At 40.6% G+C, this 22,011-nt stretch overlaps 1 protein-coding gene across 13 annotated transcripts in view; it reads right to left on the bottom strand.

The window, feature by feature from the left end:
* Nucleotides 1–22,011, bottom strand: part of TPST1 (tyrosylprotein sulfotransferase 1) — a 161,654-nt gene that overhangs the window by 47,600 nt on the left and 92,043 nt on the right. The window lies entirely within an intron of this gene.

Here is a 22,011-nt window from a genome sequence, read left to right as displayed (position 1 = left end):
TTTTCTTTCATAGGTATCATTTTCTCTCATCTATCAATCTTCATCTCTGTTCTTTTGCTGTACATTCTGGAAGAGCATCTAATGTATACTCTCCCTATCATTAATTTGATTTTTCGTAGTGTCACTTCTACAGTAATCTTTGGGTAATCTTTGGGTTTAAGGAAAAGCCACAATACAATCAATGATCGACTTAGTGGAAAATTTCCCTATTCTTTAGCATAGAGCTTTTCATATCTTCATTTTAAAGGGATTTTTTAAATTAACGATATTTTAATAGATTTTTAAAAAGGGAATTGGAGAAATTATATCAGGCACTGGTAATCAGACACCAAGTTAACCTATAAGTATCTCCTATTTTCTCCTGAATTAGAGCATGGGGTAAAAAATGACTTCTAATACTGATTTATTATATTCTCATTTATAAATACCATGTTTTTTAAGAGTTAAACATTACTGTTCAGAACAGTCATTCTGAATGTTCAGAATAGGCATTTGCTGACATAAAGAGAAATTATTTCATTCTTTAAAATTCCAAGGAAAACTGTATAAATAGCTATCCAACTAAACCTCTTCACTGCAAATGTTCTCTTGCTCTCAAAAAGTACTCTCACTAATGAAGGCAGAAAGAGAAGGATGAGGGGAACCTATTTCTTAAGGAACTGAATTTCCCATAGACCTTCAGATGGGATTACAGTTGTAAAAGACAACTAAAATGTACGAAATTCTGAATGGCATGAGCAAGTGCAATTTGTGCTTGTACACAAAACCAACAAAGAGCTGGATCCTTTGACATTTAATCTGGTAAGTACAAGTATAGGAAAACCTACTTTACACAGCAAATACAAGTGCATGAAACTCATTAGCCCCAAAAGGATTTCTGGCAGAAAACACAAATTATTGGGATACACTTATGGAATGACAGTGCCAAAGCTGGGAGAGAAGATGAGAAAGGTTTGACTTTGAAGGATGAGTCAAAGGGCACAATCAGGCCTTGACAAGGCTATTCCTGTGGGGTAGTCTCAGACTTTCAGCCTCGTCCTGTGGACAAATTTTTAGGTTTCCAACAGTTTTTAACCCTTTAAAACACAGTAAAAATTCTTCTCCCATCTTATTATTATTTCATTTTCTTCTATGGCATGTCTTCTCTCTCCAATCCAATTACCTGTATTTTCTTCCTGGATACAAGCCAGATCTTTGCATCTCCTGAAGCACTAGAAGGTAGTATTCCAAAAAGCAACTGTTTAGTAATTGCTTGTTTAATAATCGAAGCCTTAAAGTGATGCATCAGAAGAAAGACTGAGGTATTCTGAGAGATGGTAAAATGTGCTACTTTGAACTTCCTTATATATTCTTTACAGAATGCCTGCAGGAATCAATTCAGCCTTCTTTCAAAATAAAACAAAATGGCTGGGCACAGTGGCTCACTCCTGTAATCCCAGCACTTTGGGAGGCCGGGCCAGGTGAATCACTTGAGCTCAGGAGTTTGAGGCCAGCCTGGGTAATATGGTGACATCTTGTCTCTACAAAAAATACAATAATTAGTTGGGCATAGTGGTGCATGCCTATGGTCTCAGCTACTCAGGGAGCTGAGGTGGGAGGATGGCTTGAGCCCAGGGGAGTTTAAGGCTACAGTGAGCTATCATCATGCCACTGCACTCCAGCCTGGGCAACAGAGCGAAGAGTGAAACCCTGTCACACACACACAAAAAAAAGACAAAATACTTCAATAGGGGAAAAAAAAAATCCTGCCAAGTTGAGGAAATGAATTTAACTCCATGGTTGTTGCTTTGAAGGCCTATGAAAATTCTGAAAGAATGAGATAAGAATTTCTTTAACTAAAATTTAGGCCAGACAAAGTGGCTCATGCCTATATGCCTATAATCCCAGAACTTTGGGAGGCCAAGGTGGGAGGATCACCTGAGCCCAAGAAGTCAAGGCTGCAGTAAGCTATGATCGTGCCACTGCATTCCAGAGCACTCTGGGCAACAGAGCGAGACCCTGTCTCATAAATAAATAAATAAATAAATAAATAAATAAATACTCTTCAAATTTAGGCACAAGAAATAAAGTGAGAAGTAGCTTAAAATTTATCATACTTCAAATTTACCCAGTATGGTATTAGTTGGAATATTCCTACTACAGCCCAGAAACCCAATTCAAGTAATACAGTCAAAAAGGGAAATGTTTCCTGGAACTGTGGCAAGGGCAGAGCTGGAAATGATCTTCATGGGCAACCAGAACCAGGACCTCAACCCCTGCCAGACACTCCCTTGACCTCTTTGGCTCTGCTTCTCTCGATGGGTTGGCTTTATTCCCTTACACACTGAGGAACACGACCCCATTTGCAGTGAACACACGGTAATAGAATAACTGAGTACAAGTATGTCAAACACATAACAAGAAGTCCAGACATGAGGTGGATGGACAGTCCTAAGCCCAGAAATCAAGGGAAGCCTCTGCCCTAATCTTCCTTCTGTCACCTTCAGTGTGTTATTGATGATAACTTCTCTTAGGATCACAAAGTGGCTGCAGCAGGGCTAAGCATAATGTTCTTTCACAGCAATGTTCAAAAGCAGGAAGGAAAGAGTAAGCTCTTTTCACACAATTCTTTATTTTCTCAGAAAGCTAAATCTCTCCCAGAAAATCCCTAGCAAACATCTCCTTATCCAGACCTAAGAATGATTAACTGAGAGTCTAACACCTTTAAAGGTCTGCTAGAAACATTTATCACTGGCTACTATCCATTCTTTCTGAGGGCTGCTGCCTGTGAGAGTTCAAGACTACCTTTGCTAGCCAGGCAAAGGTGGTCTTCTCTTCCTCCCATAACCTGTTTTGCCACCATAACTTGTTTGGCCATGATCCAAGCCCCTATTCTTTCTGTATCTCAGGGTGGTACAAAAGTGTCAATCATCTAGCCATTTGAGTTTTTTTTTTAAAAGAATTGTATAACTCCCATGCACACATGTGCACATAAAATTTGTAAGCTCTTTTTTTCCCTGTTAAAAAAAAATCTCCTTATGTATCACTGGCTACAAAAAAATGGTCAAGTGGTCATTCCACCCACAAGAGTATATGGGAAAATGAATATCTGGCATTTTTATCTACCTTTTTTGGTTTTTTAAAGGAATAGTCTTTACTAACAGGGAAAAAGGAACAAGCAGTCAGCAGTGTCTAACGCTTCCAGCAACAGTTCCTGTGCCTTATATCCAGTGGCCCTCCCTACCAGAGAGAAACCACCTTTCTTCCCTTGGTACCATTTCACAGTCCCAGGGAAAGACCTTTATTTGCCTGTGTTGGGTCAGGTTCCTACTCCTGAACCAACCTGCTGTGACCCTCAGAGGGCTAGGGTCATTGTGCTAGATTTTGCCCATTTGTACTTGCAGAAACCTAGGAAGTGTGTAGCAATGAATCCTAAGAATGTTAGACCAGACAAGAAGGAATGTAACGTTGGACTTGGTCAAATTTATCAATATATGAGTACATTAACCAGATATTTTGGATGCAGTATATTGGCTTGAGTAATCAGGGAATAACTCTAACAATTTCCTCACCTGGTTGGCCAAAACCTGGATCCATCAGTGGCTTACATTAAATGAAGCTTAGATGCCAGAACCTCCTTGGTATACTGTAAATAAAAGTTGTTCAAGCCAGGTGCAGTGGCTCATGCCTGTAATCCCAGCACTTTGGGAGGCCAAGGTGGGTGGATCACCTGAGGTCAGGAGTTCCAAGACCAGCCTGACCAACATGGTGAAACCCTGTCTCTACTAAAAATACAAAAATTAGCTGGGCATGGTGTCGGGCACCTGTAATCCCAGCTACTGAGGAGACTGAGCAGGAGAAGTGCTTGAACCCGGAAGGCAGAGGTTGCAATGAGCTGAGACAGTGCCATTGCACTCCAGCTTGGGCAACAGGAGCAAAACTCAGTCTCAAAATAAAATTTATTCAAAAGGTTAGAAAATAAGGAATACTGGGGTGTATTTAATACGTATGACTGATCTGTTCACTGATCTCCTAACTACATCCCAGGAATGTCTAGAGAACTCACTCCTTTACCAAGCCTTTGAGAAATACATTGGTGAAGGGGGCAACAACATCCCTAAAAAGCTCTTTAGTGCTTGTTCGCTGCAGGCTAGAAATAACAATGGGAAAGGCTGTCAGAGAAATAGATTCCCTGAACCCAAGGGAAGGATGAAAAGATCTCTGAGTCACAGCAGCCAACTGGTGACGCTTCATGACAGAAACAATGGGCACATGGCTATACTTTATAAGCACACGCAGAGGTAGAGTAGGAAAAGAGAATGGTGTGAGCTGTAGAGATCTCTGGTGGTGGCTGATTGGTGATGGTGTCCCTAGGACTAACAGAGATGGGTAGCATACTAAAGCCATACCTCAGGGGTTACATTAGAGCTGCCTCTCTCTACCAAAATATTACACCAAAAGTAATACTGCATTCCTAGAGGAACTGCAGAGATTAGTATCGCCAACAAAAACTTAAGATACAGGATGATACTTCATGAGTGATGTGTGGAGGTATGGCAGGCCCTAGAGGTAAATCACAGTATAGAACCCTAGGATTTTAGAGCAAAGCTATGCTAACTTCTGGAGATCATTACTCTCCCTTTTGAGAAAGAGCCCTTGCTTGCTACTAGGATTTAGTAAGGACTGAACACTTTACCACTGGCTACCAAGTTGCCCAAGTCGCTTAGGCTGCTCATCATACACTCGAAGCAGTGTACATGACTGCACATTTTGTGTCAAAGGAGTGATGGCTATAAATACGAATCCACACTGATTTGTGGTCAGCAGCAGATGGTTTGACTGGAAATTCAGAAACTTAGAATAAGGTTGGGAAACTTGTGGTAAGATATAGAAAAGAGCTATGTCAATAAACTATTCTCAAACAGGACAAAGTGTGAGGGTATTTGTGTCCCATGTAAATGATGACCAATGTATAATCTCAGCAGAGGAGGCTCTCAATAACCAAGTGGACAAAATGACTCATTATTTTATCAGCCACTGTTTCCCTTGCTCAGAACGCTAATGAACAAAGTTCATATCCTACTGTGAGAGCAACAGGAATGAAGGTCATGCATGTGCTCAGTGACACAGGCTTCCACCTGTCAAGGCTGACCTGGCAACAATCATGGCTAAGTGTCCAACCTGCCAACAGGAGAGGCCAACAATGGTGCCCCAATAAAGCGCTGCTCCCAGGGGGTCTGGGCAGCCATCTGTAGCAGGATGATCACACTGGACCGCTTCCATCTAAAAAGGACACTGCTTTTACTCAATGAAGATTTCCTTCTCTGCCCACAACATTTCTGTCAAAAACCAGCATCCTTTCCCTTACAAAATATCTTATTCACCATAATGGCATTCTAAACAGTACTGCTTCTGGTCAAGTACTTCATTTTAAAGTGAATGAAGTGGGCCGGGCGCAGTGGCTCACACCTGTAATCCCAGCACTTTGGGAGGCCGAGGCGGGCGGATCACGAAGTCAAGAGATCGAGACCATCCTGGCTAACACGGTGAAACCCCGTCTCTACTAAAAATACAAAAAAACTAGCCGGGCGTGGTGGCAGACGCCTGTAGTCCCAGCTACTCAGGAGGCTGAGGCAGGAGAATGGCATGAACCCGGGAGGCGGACCTTGCAGTGAGCCGAGATCTCATCACTGCAGACAGAGCGAGACTCCATCTAAAAAAAAAAAGTGAATGAAGTGGAGTTTTGGTTCCATTATGGTGAGGTTAAGCCACCTACATCCCATAAAGTTGTTCCTCCCTCTAATTACAACTATAAAGTTTGAGCAAACTTTTAAAAAATAACTACCTTGGGCCAGGCGCGGTGGCTCACACCTGTAATCCCAGCACTGTGGGGAGGCTGAAGTGGGTGGGACACCTGAGGTCAGGAGTTCAAGACCAGCCTGGCCAACATGGTGAAACCCTGTCTCTACTAAAAATACCAAAAATTAGCCGTGCATGGTGGCGGCTGCCCGTAATCCCAAGCTACTCAGGAGGCTGAGGCAAAAGAGTCGCTTCAACCCGGGAGGGGGAGGTTTCAGTGAGACAAGATTGTGCCACTGCACTCCAGCCTGGGCACCAAGAGTGAAACTCCATCTCAAAACACAGCAAAACAAAACAAAACAAAAAACTATATGAGGATCTGGAAAGTAAATAAAAGCAGGCAGATTGTGGAGGGAAGTAAAAAGTTGGAGAAGTGACCTTACAGGGTGAGTTTTCTGTTTGTTTATTTTTTTCTCATCAAGTTTTTCCTTGAGGGTGGGACAGCTTCAGTCACTAAGCAGCACACGTAGGTGGCTAAAACTCTGATAGGAATTGTTTTCTTTCTGGTCAGAGCAAGCAGGGAAAGGAGCCAAAGAAAGACAGGGAGTCAGAGCAAACTCCTGGAGCAGAAACAGCAGGTGAAGGAGCTCTCCACTTTTATGTATGCACCTACACGGGTCTCACCTTAACCTCTGAATCACACATGCACAGGACAAACCCAAACCAGTTTAGCAAAGGCTTTGCTTTGATAACTGAATTGGGATTTGAATCACTGCCTGCAAAAGGCAAAACAATGTATAATCCAGCCTACCTGAGTTGATTGCCTGCTAAAACAAAAGTAAATGCATTCACAAGAGTATTATAAAGGAACCCAGAGTCTATACAAGATAACAGTCTTTATGTCCAGAGAGAGAGAGAGAGAGACGTGCACACTCCAGCCAGTCCAGTGCTGTAATCTTATATAATATAATCATGCAATCACATATCTCCCATCGCCTTTGTTGTATTCTATTCGTTCCAAGCAAGTCACAGGTCCTGTCCACATTCAGGTGGAGGGAATCACTAACAGGTGTGGACAGAGGCGGAATCAAGGGGTCATCACATGAGGAATAGAAAAGTTATCACTATCAATTTGACAAAGATTAGAAGGACTCTAAGAAAATACTGCAGCTTCCTGCCAACAAATTTGACAACTTAAGTGAAATGGCCAAATTACTTTAAAAAATACAATTTATCAAAATTGATACAAGAACAAGAAAATCGAAATAGCCCTATATTCACTAAATATTATCAAAATCCTTCCCCAAAAGAAAACTCGCAGCAGCTGTGGGCTCTCCCAGTTTACAGGTCTTAATCCTCAAGGGAGAAGTGCTTCTTTGGGGGAGACACAACATTATTTCCACTGAACAGAGAGCTGAGACTGTTAACTCAGCACTTCTTGCTCCTCATGCCACTTAGCCAAAGACAAGTAAGGCAGGTACTATAATAGCTAGGCTGATTGATCCCGATTATCAAGGAAGAACCAAGTTTAAAATACACAATGGGAAAAAAATACTCAATGGAAGAAGGAAAGAAATTGCCTGGAACCTAGGATTTTCTATTACACTTGTTTATTATGGAAAGTTAACGGGATATTAGAGCAAAACAATATGGCCATTTATTGGTACATACACCCCAGAATGAAGGTTTAGGCCACCCCACCAGGCAAAGAACAAAGACCATCTGAGGTGACTACTGAGGACCAAAGGAACATGGAATGGCTAGAGGAAGAAAGAAATGACAGATACCTGCCATGATCACATGAAAGGTACAGAAAATGAGAACTACAATAGTTTGGCAGATATTCTTCTTTGCTTTGATATGAATATATACTGAATATATTAACGAATTCTTTTTTCCACTTTTCCCTGTCTAATAATACTCTCTAATATAAGGTGTATTGACTCTGGCTGGGCACGGTGGTTCATGCCTATAATCCTAACACGTTGAGAGGCTAAGGCAACAGGATTGCTTGAGGCCAGGAGTTCAAGAGCAGCCTGGGCAACACAGTGATACCTCTTGTCTCTACAAAAAGTTAAAAATAAAAAAAATTTAGCTAGGTGTGGTGGTGCACACCTATAGTCAAGAAGCTAAGGCAGGCGGATCGCTTGGGCCCAGGAGATTCTGGATGCAGTGAGCTATGATGGCGCCACTGCACTGCAGCCTGGGTGACAGAACAAGACCTTGCCAAGAAAAAAAAAAAAAGGAAATGGCTAACTCTGTATCTCAGTATATGTAAGTTTTAGGATATCAAAGAGGGGATGTGACTCAGCTAGTGGAATACATTCATATCAGCCAGAAATGTACAAAGCACAATATGAAATACAGCATCTCCTCTTTGAGGGAGTGCTTAGCATGTTTTCAGTTTGCTAAGCGATAGTTACAACATGTTAAGCAGAGCATTTAGCTTTATCTGGCAGTTAAATATGGTTTAAGTAGGTGTGTATGTAAGCCAGGCTGGCAAAGGAATGGCCTATGCTGGATGGTCAACTGGCACCACCACCACTGTTGTCTAGGACAGAAAATTAAGTCTCCCAGAATTCCTTTCCCTGTGTGGTTCTGGGTCAGAGGCTTCTGTGAGTTTTAGAAGGTGGAAATGAAGTAGAAGCCATTATTTTTAAGAGGTCAGGGCAGTCAGATGCAGTCGCTCCACTGGCCTCTCCTAAAGCTCCACTTTATCCCCGTGGCAGTCTTCACAGACCTTTCCTTGGGATCCCACACTGAGTCCTACTTTGGCAGCGAGAGGCAGTTTCCTAGCACTTCTCTGCCCTCTCTAGAGCTGCAGGTTTCAGTCATCAGTGCCTATTCCTCTGGTCTTCCAACTGTAGCTGTATCCAGCTCATTCCCTACTCCTATTGTAAACAACGTGTCCAGTATACAATAAAAAACGTGCAGACCTTCACTTCTCTAGTCCTCCCATATTTGCACAGGCCTTAATTACTATATTAAACCCCTCACTCCTATAACACTTAACAGTGGCTCAATGTTTCCCTGACTGAGCCCAGACTGATACATAGTCATAAAGTGCTGCCACAACCTCTGGGGCTTTGCCTCTGGGTAATGGAGCATTTCTCACCTACGGCAGAATCCTTGTGAGCTGAGCCGTAACTCCAAGAGCCTCATATCTGAATATCCCTTTTCTTGGTTCCTGGCATATTCTTTTTCTACGTGTAAGGTTTATTTTGCTAATAAGAATCATTTTATTGAGCATCAAGTAATTGTCAAGTATTACTGGCACTCAGGCTACAAAATGCAAATGATATCTTTGTCCTTGAAAAGTCTTTACTTATTTATTTTTTTAAAAAACTACATATACAAGCCAGGTGCAGTGACTCACGCCTGTAATCCCAGCACTTTGAGAGGCCAAGGTGAGCAGATCGCCTGAGGTCAGCAGCTTCAGACCAGCCTGGGCAACTTGGTGAAACCCTGTCACTACTAAAAATATAAAAATTAGCCAGGCATGGTGGCATGCACCTGTAACACCAGCTACTCTAGGGGCTGAGGTGGGAGAATTGCTTGAACCCAGGAGGCGGGGGTTGCAGTGAGCAGAGATCGCACCACTGAACTCCAGCCTGGGTGACAGAATGAGACTCCGTTTCAAAATAAATTAATACATACATACATACATACATACACACACAGCTGTTTTTCTAAATACAAATGGTAAAACATAACACTGACCATATCTTAAGAGATGCTCCCATATCATTACTTTTAAAACTATCTTATTCTGTTGAAGGGATGCATAGTCTTTTTTTTTTCAGACCAGAAAGTTGTTACTTTAACTAAACAAAGACTATAGCAACACTTTGAACTATATTAACATTTTCAGATGAAGGCATGTCTGGCATGTCCTTAGTTTAAAAGCAGCAGCATATAATATAAATCATCACAATATAATGTGAAAGTACACAAGTAAAGGTAGGTACATTGTAGCAGGAGGATCTGTGGCACAGAAGAGGTGTCATGTGAGTTGAGTTTTAAAGGACAAAGTTGTAAGATGAGAAGAAGGACAATCAAGGCAGAAGGAACAAAGGTATGGAGGTATACAATGTGCTGTGGGAATGAAAGGGAGGCACTGTGGTGTGGTTAAAAGAATAAAAAGAGATGAGGTTGAAAAGGAAGGTTGAAAGCAGAAGGCAAAGAATCTTAATGCCATCATTCTAAAGCATTCCAACCTGGTTTGAATGCAGCTGATCCCAAAAGACCACTGCTCTCATCAAAACAAGAAAACACCAGATAAACTAAACTTCATACTTTTCTGTAAAGCCATGAAAAAGCAGTAAATGAATGCCAAGAAGTCTAACTGAGCCAATTTCTGGAGAAGGATGAGTTCTTCACAGAGAAACAAAAGCCTGTTTCTAGCTACCTTGAATCAATTGCCTGTCTGGGTACAAGTGGGCAGAAAAGGAGGTCTCCCATAGGTGGAAAGATTTTGCTGAAACAAGCCAAACTTTTAGTGAGACTGTGGACTGGTATGATTAATTAGAATCTGAAAGAGTCCCAAGTGTAAAAACAAATCTCTTGACCTGACAATTACATGTAATACTACAAGAGAATCTTAGTAAGTGCTGGTGGGAGCACAGTGAGAGACAGAAAGAGATCTCCCAATGCTGTGTGGTGCTTGGGTTCCAGGGCCCTGCTATAGTTGCAATCCAGAGGTAAAGTAAATTAATTTAATCTTCAACCCAACTGCCTCCCAGCTGCAATCTTGCTAAAATCAAAGAAATGAACCCCTCGTCTAAATGATATAGAAAGCTAAGGTTGGGCTAAAAGTCAAATTTCCTTAATCTCATTTGAATCCAGAGGCAAACTGAAATCAATTAAAGCTACTGCTCAGCCCCAGCTCAGCTTGATTCACTGTCAAATTTGAGTGATCACCTTAGCTACCTGCTGGAGGAAAGAACTGCTCTCTTTAACAAAAATAAAACAAAAAGTATTACCTAGTTCATTCTCTACCCCTCTGTTATACAAAAGGTCCAGTATGCAGTTAAAACTTCTAAGACATGTGAAGAAGCAAATGAGTACAGGCATACCTCATTTCATTGTGCTTTGCAGATGTTGTGTTTTTTACAAATTGAAGGTGTGTGGTAATCCTGTGGTGAGCAAGTCTGTTGGTGACATTTTTCCAACAACATGCACTCCCTTCATGTCTCTTTATGACACTGTGGTAATTCTTGCAATATTTGAAGCTTCTTCATTATTGTATCTGTTACGGTGATGTGCGATCAGAGATCTTTGATGTTACCATGTAATTGTTTTGGGGTGCCACGATCCTAAGCCCATATAACATAATTAACTTAATCAATGTTGTGTATGTTCTGACTGCTACACCAACTGGCTGTTTGTTCCCCCATCTCTCTCCCTCTCCTTGGGCCTCCCTGTTCCTGTGACACATTGATATTGAAAAAAGGCCGATTAATAATCCAACAATGGGCTCTAAGTGTCCAAATGAAAGGAATAGTCGCATATCTCTCACTTTAAGTCAGAAGCTAGAAACAATCAAGCTTAGTGAGGAAGGTATGTTGAAAGCCAAGATAAGCTGAAAGCCAGGCCTCTTCCATCAAATAGTCAAGTTGTGAATACAAAGGAAAAGTTCTTGAAGTAAATTCAAGTGCTACTCCAATGAACACACAAGTGGTAAGAAAGTGAGAGTCTTACTGTAGACATGGCAAAAGTTTTAGTGGACTAGACAGATAAAGCCAGCCATGACATTCCCTTAAGCCAAAGCCTAATCCAGAGCAAGGCCCTAATTCTCTTCAATTTTATAAAGGCTGTGAGAGGAAAAGTTGGAGGCTAGTAGAGGTTGTTTGTTTATGAAGATTAAGGAAAGAAGCTATCTCCATAACATAAAAATGCAATTTTCAGCCCACTGTTGAGACCTATTGCTTAGGAAAAAAGATTTCTCACAAAATACTATTGCTCGTTGACAATGCACCTTGTCACCCATGAGTTCTGATAGAGATATACAAGGAGATGAATGCTGTTTTCATGCTTGCTAACACAGTATCCATTCTGTAGTCCATGGATCAAGGAGTAATTTCTACTGTCAAGTTGGTTTTGTTTTTTGTTTTTTTTTTTGAGATGGAGTCTCGCTCTGTCACCCAGGCTGGAGTGCAGTGGCATAATCTTGGCTCACTGCAACCTCTCCCTCCCCGGTTCAAGCGATTCTCTTGCCTCAGCCTCTTGAGTGGCTGGGATTACACACATGCGCCACCACACCCAGCTAATTTTTGTATTTTTAGTAGAGATGGAGTTTCGCCATGTTGGCCAGGCTGGTCTTGAACTCCTGACCTCAGGTGATCCATCCACCTTGGCCTCCCAAAGTGCTGGGATTACAGGTTTAAGACACTGCACCTGGCCCTGTCAAGATTATTATTTAAGAAATACATTTCTTAAGACTATAGCTGCCATAGATACCAACTCCTCTGATGGATTTGCACAAAGTCAACTGCAAACCTTCTGGAAAGGGTTCATCATTTTAGATGCCATTAAGAACATTCGTAATTCATGGGAGGAGGTCAAAATTTCAATGTTAACAGGAATTTGGAAGAATCAGACAGATGACATTGAGAGGTTCAAGACTTCAGTGGAGGAAGGAACTGCAGATGTGGTAGAAATAGCAAAAGAACTATAACTAGAAGTGAGCCTGAAGATGTGGTTGAATTGCTACAATCTTATGATTGAACTTGAATGAATGAGTTGCTTCTTAAGAATGAGCAGAGAAAGTGGTTCTTGAGATGGAATCTACTCCTGGTGAAGATGCTGTGAATATTGTTGAAAAGACAGCAAAGGATATAGAATATTACATAACAAAACAAATTGCTATAGTCACCCCAATCTTTAGCAACCACCACCCTGAATGGTCTAGCAGTCATCAACATGGAGGTAAGAGTCTCCACCAGCAAAATGATTATGACTTGCTGAAGGCTTGGATGATTGCTAGCATTTTTTTTTTAGCAATAAAGTATTTTAAATTAAGGCATATGCATTGTGTTTTCTTTTGACACAATGCTACTACAGACTGAACAGACTACAATGTAGTGTATAACTTTTATATGTACTGGGAAACCAAATTATGTGTGACTTGCTTTATTGGGATATTCACTTTATTTTGGTGGTCTGGAACCAAACCCACAGTCTCTCCAAGGTGTGCCTATAACCCATAATAAAGAAACAAAGTCAACAGGGAGAGATCCGTGGATGAAGACTTTAAAAGTTATTATGAATATGTTAAATAATTTAGAGGAAAAGATCAACAGAATGGGTAAAGAGCAAAGAATTCCAGCAGAGAAAGGGAAATTCTAGAACTGAAAAATAAATGATCTGAAATGAAGAAGTCACCAGATGGGTTTAACAGCAGACTGGACACAGAAAAAGAAGGGATCAATGAATTCAAAGGTAGGCTAATAAAAACTAATCAAAACTGAGGCCCACACAGGAGATGGCAGTAGAACGGAGCTACGAATTTGGTATATTATAATCAAACTGCTGAAAACCAAAAATAGGGAAAAATCTTATAGCAGTCAAAGAAAAAAAATTACATTCATAAGAATGTCAGCTGACTTTCATCAAAAACATGGGAAGCCAATAAAATAGTATCTTTTTAATGTTGAAAGTTAAAAAAAATACAAAACGACCAATAGCCTAGAACTCTATGTCCAGCAAAATATTCTCAAATTAAAAAAAAAACAAACACATTTTCAAATTAAAAAAAAAAAAAAAAACCTAAGAGCATTAGTAGTCAACATGTCTTTACTATAAGAACTGCTAAAGGAAGTGCATCAGGCTAAAGAGAAATGATGCCAGATGAAAATCTGGATCTTCAAGTAAAGAACAAAGAGCCCAACTGTGGCCCACAAAGCATAATATATTTACTATCTGGATTTTTTTTTTTTTTTGAGACGGTGTCTCGCTCTGTTGCCCAGGCTGGAGTGCAGTGGAGTGATCACAGCTCACTGCAAGCTCCACCTCCCAGGTTCATGCCATTCTCCTGCCTCAGCCTCCCAAGTAGCTGGGACTACAGGTGCCCACAACCAAGCCCAGCTAATTCTTTTTGTATTTTTAGTAGAGACGGGGGTTTCACCATGTTAGCCAGGATGGTCTCGATCTCCTGACCTTGTGATCCACCTGCCTCAGCCTCCCAAAGTGCTGGGATTACAGGTGTGAGCCACTGCACCCGGCCTACTATCTGGATTTTTACAATATAAAAAATGTGCAGCCCATGTCTTACAGTAACCACTATAAGCAAAAACAAAACAAAAAGAAGAGGTATAGCTAAAAAGAGGAGATAATATATAAAATGGAATACCAAAAAAGATTAATCCAAAAGAAGGCAGGAAAAGAGAAACAAAGAAACAAAAATAGATGATCCAAATAAAAAACAAATAGCAAGATGGTAGTTTTAAATCCAATCAGATGAATAATTACATTAAATGTAAGTGGATTAACTCTCCATTTAAAAGGCAGAGACTATAAAACTGGATTAACAAACAAAGCCAGCTATATAAAGACACAGATTAAAAGTAAAAGAATCGGGAAAATATACCATGTATATAGTATACATAAAAACACTGTTGTGGCTATATTCATATCAGATAAAGTAGACTTTCAGAGGGTAACAGCAGAGATAAAGAGAAATATTTCATAATTACAAAAGAGTTACTTCTTCAAGAAGGTCTAAATGGGTGTGTTCCCAATAATATAGATCCTAAATACATGAAACAAAATTGCTAGAAATGTAAGGAAAATTTGAAAAATTCATAATTTTCCCAACATTAATAAAGCAGACCAAAAAATCAAATAAGATTTAGACTGTAACAACACTATAAAATTTCTTGACCTCACTGATATTTACAGAACTCTGCAACAATCACAGAATACATATTTTTTCAACTGATCACATAAGACCATATACTGGCCATAAAACAATATTCAATATATTTCAAAGGACTGAAACAAACCATAATGAGTGTTCTCTGACCATAATGGTCACATTAGAAATCAACAACAAAAAGATAATGAGAAAATACCCAAATACTAGAAAAGTAAATGTCATTCTAAGAAGTCTAGACTCTATCCTGTAGTAACAGTGGAGTCATTCATGAATTTTAAGTGAGGAGACCTAATTTGGGTAACTGGGTGAATAAGCATGCTATGTATGGAGATAGAAAAAAACAGGAACAAGCAGTTTTTGCTGAGTATAGGAACCAGAAAACACAAGTATGCATTCATTCCAGGCTTTACCTTTAATGTAAGAATATCAATTCCAACTGCTGCTGCAGCTTTTTGTTGTTTGGTTTAGGGATTTAATCTAACCCCTGTCCCCCAGCTGACTTCATTTTCATGTTTCTTCTTGTCTGTTACTGTGGGTTCTGCACCTTGGTACATGCTTTTCCATTTGATCACTTGCTCTTCCTCAGTACTATCTACTCAGGTTTCCAACTAAATATTCCATTCATAAATTGGATCTGCTTTTCAGCTCTCTAACTTTAGCAACCAGGTTCTTGAATTGTTTTGGGGTTTGAGCCATGTGCCCTGAGGACTCTGTTCCTCAAATCTGCTCTCTGGCTCATAGGTACCGCAAGTATAGATGAGCACAGCATCATCCCCACTCTCAAGGTGGATTCCTGCTCAGTTTAATGAACAATTCCACCTAGCTTCTGCCTCTCAGGGAACAAGTTTAGAAAATAAATTCAATTTTGGACTTTGAATTTGAGGTCCTTGAGAGCATTTCGGTGGACACATACAGAAGACAGTTGGAAATAATGAACCTAGGGCTCAGGAAAGAGACCCACTAGGAAATACAGATTTATGATAATCAGCAAATAGGCTGTAATGAAAGCCCTATGAGTGGATGAGCTTGAGCAAGGAGACTATAAAATAGGAGTCCTTAATCTGTCAGGCTTCTGGCACACATGCATCCACTGAAATTGTGGCTAATAGGAGTCCTTAATCTGATGGACTTCTGGTATATCTATGTATCCACTGAAATTGTGAGTGAAATCTGTGTATTCATGTGTCTGTATTTCTGAGGTGGGGATCCACAGGATTCATCAAATTCTCAAATAAGTTCCTAAGTCTAAAAGGTTAAGAATCTATGCAAGAAGGCTGACGATGTAACCTAGACAGCACCATTTACTGAAATATACTATAATTTTAGGATTAGAGACTATGGTGGGACAGGGTATAAAATATGTTAACGTTTCATTACCAATTTACTATGTGAGTCACAGTAACCATGAAGCATGATTATCCATTCAATATTGGGTAATATGTCCCTAAAATGTGCTGACTCAATATTACTTGCAGACTACCCAGAATTGTACCAAAAAAAAAAAAAAAAAAAAACCAACCCAGTATTTTTAGGCTTAGAGATATAAATCCTATATTCTCAGTCAAAATGTTATTTTTCTCCCACTCTCACCCCATAACTAAGGAAAACACCTTCGCCAGCCACCTCTTTCTCTGGGGCCCATCTCATATCATAGCTAACGGTCAACAATCTCTTTTCAAGCACTGCTTTACAAAAACCTCATGATCATCAGTGCTGGATACATTAGCATCTGACTTATTACAGGCAAAAAAGCTTTGAAGATACACAGGATTTAGTTTGCAAAAAGGTCTTATGAAACCTACCCTCACAAGACAAGACTGTCAGTTTGTATGCATTACCACAAAAGGCCCAAAAACACCACTATAGTTCACACTTCATCTTTTCTTCCTCAAAATTATCTGTCACTTTAAAGATAGGCAGAGACGGTGGGGGAGGGGGGGGGGAAGGGTGGGTGTTTTTTAATTTCAGTGGGTATTTTGAAATCCTTTCAAAAACCACAAGTGTGTATGAAATAGATTCTTTAGTCACATGGATTCAAACCATAGCATTCTTCCCAACCCACCACTCAAGAAAGCAAAGGATAATCTAGCCAAGCCAATTTGCATGTAGGAAAACTATAATGTCTACTGCCTAAGAACCCTCAAAATAGCATTGTACATGTATCTTGGTAATAAAAAACCCTTTCACTATTGTGCAAAGGAGATAGCTATGAATTACCAATTACAAAGAGCTCACAAAACTTTAATACATATAAAACTTTAAAGAGTGGCTCATGTAATCCTAGCACTTTGGGAGGCCAAGGCAGGTAGATCACTTGAGGTCAGGAGTTTGAGATCAGCCAGGCCAACACAACGAAACCCTAACTTTACTAAAAATAAAAAATTAAAAAAAATTAGCCAGGCGTGGTAGCATGTGCCTATAATCCCACCTGAGGCAAGAGAATCATCACTTGAACCCAGGAGACACAGGTTGCAGTAAGCCAAGATTGTGCCAACAGAGCAAGACTCTGTCTCAAATAAATAAAGTAAAAACTTAGTTCATAAAAGAATATATACATATAGCTAATAACTGGAAAATGTTCAATTACATTAATCAATGAAATCTATTAAAACCAACAAAAATCTAAAATAAATTACCTCAATTATGCTGGCAGTTCAAAGGTTTTTTGTTTGTTTGTTTTTTGTTTTTGTTTTCTTGAGACAGGATCTCGCTCCATCACCCAGGCTGGAGTGCAGTGGCACAATCTCAGCTCACTGTAACCTCAAAATTCTGGGCTCAAGCAATCCTCTCACCTCAGCCTCCCAAGCAGCTGAAACCAGAGGCATGTGCCACCACACCTGGCTAACTTTTGTATTTTTTGTAGAGATGGGGTTTTGCCACATTGTCCAGGCTGGTCTTGAACTCCTGAGCTCAAGTGATCCACCCACCTCAGCCTCCCAAAATGCTGGGATTACAGGCGTGAGCCACTGTGGCCAGCCCAAAGGTTTTTTAGTATCAATAGATATCAAACACCTTTTAAAAATCTCAGATACTTTACCCTGGTTTAGTTCTATTTTTATTGATCCTACCTTAAAAAAAAAATCCTAAAATTGAGTATCTGCAAAGATGTTCACTGCAGCACAATTTGTCAAAGAGAAAACGGTAAACAACAAAATGGTAAAATCAATTGTAGAACATCTACCAGGGAAATGTATTTTGTTTGTTGATTTATTCATTCATTTACTACTGTGCTTCAGAAAGAATTTAAGGTGGCTTCTATGAAGGTTTATAACTATAAAAATTATGTTTAAAAAGCATGCACACAATGGGAAAATGCTCGTGAATATTAAAAGGACTGGATACAAAACTGTGTATATAAAGGTAAGATGATATACGTAATCTTACCTTTGTTTAACATAATGCAGAGGAGAGAAAATACATCAAAATATTAAGAATAATATGTGTAAATAAATAAGAAAATAAAAAAGAATAATATGTGTATGTGTCTAGGTGGGAACATTACAGGTGATTTTTATTCTCTTATCCTTTGAATTTTGTAAGTTTCATATAATGAGCTTATATTTTTATAATGGAAATATTTATATATATATAAAAAGTGTAAAGAGGATAGCGATTATTGTTTTTTTTAATTTGCCCTCATATGTGATGGTTTACAAGAAGGCAGCTCTTCCCATATAGCTGCTAATAATGAATTGAAAAGGGGAAATAAAAGTAATACCTAAGAGAAAGGAATTCACATAGAAATTAATCTCATGAAATAAATGTGGCATAAATTTGTCAATTAAAGTTATCAAAAGACAGAATAAAAACATGATACGGTTATATGGTTGTAGGGAGGGAAGGACACTGATATAAACAAGAGAATATCAGACAAAGCCAAGGAATTTTCACCTTGGAATCAAATAGCCTATCAGTGAACTTATGCTAGCATGGTTGTCTTATTTGAAATGTAGTTTCAAAAAAGAATATATACAAGTGACACAAAAAACTGCAGTTGACAGGGACCAGGCAATGAAGAGTATGGGTACAGAATTTCAGTTTGGGAAGACAAAAAATGTTCTGGAGATGGACGGTGGTGACAGTTGCACAACAATGTGAATGTATTTAATGCCACTGAATTGTGCACTTTAAAAAGTGTCAGAGTGGTAAATTTTATGTTAAATATATCTTACTGCAATAAAGAAAAGAATGTATAAGATCTGATTTGAAATAGACTCAACTGGTAGGCTATATAATCTAGCTCTGAATTTTCAGCACTTTCTGAAATAATATATTGTAAAGACGTGAGCATAACTTATTAAAATAAAAACTGTAATGTCACTTTAATAGCAACTTTCTCTTAATCAGAAGGCTAGTGTTTAATAATTTTTCTAGTGTAACCAATGTTTAGCTTTTAGGTATCCAAAAATTATGCCTCATCTAAACAAAGGTTTAAAAGTAAAGTGGCTATTAGATTTACAGAAAGAAAGAAATCAGAAGTAAGGTCACTAATAATTATGGTGTTTATGCAGATCTGCAGTAATTGGCTGAGAATAAATCTCCCAACAGTGAGTATCATTCCTAGAAACTGAGCAAAATACCCTAAGAACTATCCCCAACGAGCCAGTTATCCTTAAAATGCAGTGGAAGACTGCTGATAAGAAAGCATTCTACAAATATAATTTTTCTTCATTCTTTTTTCTTATTTTGAGACGGGGTCTTGCTCTGTCACCCAGGCTACAGTACAGTGGCATACTCTCAGCTCACTGCAGCCTTGACCTCTCAGGCTCAATCAATCCTCCCACCTCAGCCTCCCAAGTAGCTGGGACTAGAGTCATGTGCCACCATGCCTGGATAATTTTTATATTCTTTGTAGAGATGGGGGTCTCACTATGTTGCCCAGGCTAGTCTTGAAATCCTGGGCTCACTCGCATCTCGGCCTTCCAAAGTGCTGAAACTACAGGTGTCAGCCCTATGCTGGGCCCAAGTTTTTCTTTTTTTTTTTTGAGATGGAGTCTCGCTCTGTCATCCAGGCTGGAGTGCAGTGGCGTGATCTCTACTCACTGCAAGCTCTGCCTCCCGGGTTCATGCCATTCTCCTGCCACAGCCTCCCAAGTAGCTGGGACTACAGGCGCCCACCACCACGCCTGGCTAATTTTTTGTGTATTTAGTAGAGAAGGGGTTTCACCGTGTTAGCCAGGATGGTCTCGATCTCCTGACCTTGTGATCCACCCGCCTCGACCTCCCAAAGTGCTGGGATTACAGGCATGAGCCAGCGTGCCAGGCCACTAGGCCCAAATTTTTCTAATTCAAAATATTTTTCTGGGGGAGGAGGAGCCAAGATGGCCGAATAGGAACAGCTCCGGTCTACAGCTCCCAGCGTGAGCGACGCAGAAGACGGGTGATTTCTGCATTTCCATCTGAGGTACCGGGTTCATCTCACTAGGGAGTGCCAGACAGTGGGCGCAGGCCAGTGTGTGTGCGCACCGTGCGCGAGCCGAAGCAGGGCGAGGCATTGCCTCACCTGGGAAGCGCAAGGGGTCAGGGAGTTCCCTTTCCGAGTCAAAGAAAGGGGTGACGGACGCACCTGGAAAATCGGGTCACTCCCACCCAAATATTGCGCTTTTCAGACTGGCTTAAGAAACGGCGCACCACGAGACTATATCCCACACCTGGCTCAGAGGGTCCTACGCCCACGGAATCTCGCTGATTGCTAGCACAGCAGTCTGAGATCAAACTGCAAGGCGGCAGCGAGGCTGGGGGAGGGGCGCCCGCCATTGCCCAGGCTTGCTTAGGTAAACAAAGCAGCCGGGAAGCTCGAACTGGGTGGAGCCCACCACAGCTCAAGGAGGCCTGCCTGCCTCTGTAGGCTCCACCTCTGGGGGCAGGGCACAGACAAACAAAAAGACAGCAGTAACCTCTGCAGACTTAAGTGTCCCTGTCTGACAGCTTTGAAGAGAGCAGTGGTTCTCCCAGCACGCAGCTGGAGATCTGAGAACGGGCAGACTGCCTCCTCAAGTGGGTCCCTGACCCCTGACCCCCGAGCAGCCTAACTGGGAGGCACCCCCCAGCAGGGGCACACTGACACCTCACACGGCAGTGTATTCCAACAGACCTGCAGCTGAGGGTCCTGTCTGTTAGAAGGAAAACTAACAACCAGAAAGGACATCTACACCGAAAACCCATCTGTACATCACCATCATCAAAGACCAAAAGTAGATAAAACCACAAAGATGGGGAAAAAACAGAACAGAAAAACTGGAAACTCTAAAACGCAGAGCGCCTCTCCTCCTCCAAAGGAACGCAGTTCCTCACCAGCAACAGAACAAAGCTGGATGGAGAATGATTTTGACGAGCTGAGAGAAGAAGGCTTCAGACGATCAAATTACTCTGAGCTACGGGAGGACATTCAAACCAAAGGCAAAGAAGTTGAAAACTTTGAAAAAAATTTAGAAGAATGTATAACTAGAATAACCAATACAGAGAAGTGCTTAAAGGAGCTGATGGAGCTGAAAACCAAGGCTCGAGAACTACGTGAAGAATGCAGAAGCCTCAGGAGCCGATGCGATCAACTGGAAGAAAGGGTATCAGCAATGGAAGATGAAATGAATGAAATGAAGCGAGAAGGGAAGTTTAGAGAAAAAAGAATAAAAAGAAATGAGCAAAGCCTCCAAGAAATATGGGACTATGTGAAAAGACCAAATCTACGTCTGATTGGTGTACCTGAAAGTGATGTGGAGAATGGAACCAAGTTGGAAAACACTCTGCAGGATATTATCCAGGAGAACTTCCCCAATCTAGCAAGGCAGGCCAACGTTCAGATTCAGGAAATACAGAGAACGCCACAAAGATACTCCTCGAGAAGAGCAACTCCAAGACACATAATTGTCAGATTCACCAAAGTTGAAATGAAGGAAAAAATGTTAAGGGCAGCCAGAGAGAAAGGTCGGGTTACCCTCAAAGGAAAGCCCATCAGACTAACAGCGGATCTCTCGGCAGAAACCCTACAAGCCAGAAGAGAGTGGGGGCCAATATTCAACATTCTTAAAGAAAAGAATTTTCAACCCAGAATTTCATATCCAGCCAAACTAAGCTTCATAAGTGAAGGAGAAATAAAATACTTTATAGACAAGCAAATGCTGAGAGATTTTGTCACCACCAGGCCTGCCCTAAAAGAGCTCCTGAAGGAAGCGCTAAACATGGAAAGGAACAACCGGTACCAGCCGCTGCAAAATCATGCCAAAATGTAAAGACCATCGAGACTAGGAAGAAACTGCATCAACTAATGAGCAAAATCACCAGCTAACATCATAATGACAGGATCAAATTCACACATAACAATATTAACTTTAAATATAAATGGACTAAATTCTGCAATT

Source organism: Homo sapiens, chromosome 7 (genome assembly GCF_000001405.40).
Source record: "Homo sapiens chromosome 7, GRCh38.p14 Primary Assembly".
Classification (NCBI taxonomy): Eukaryota; Metazoa; Chordata; class Mammalia; order Primates; family Hominidae; genus Homo; species Homo sapiens.
Note: the sequence above shows the minus strand (reverse complement) of the source record. Positions and strands in the feature narration are given on the sequence as shown.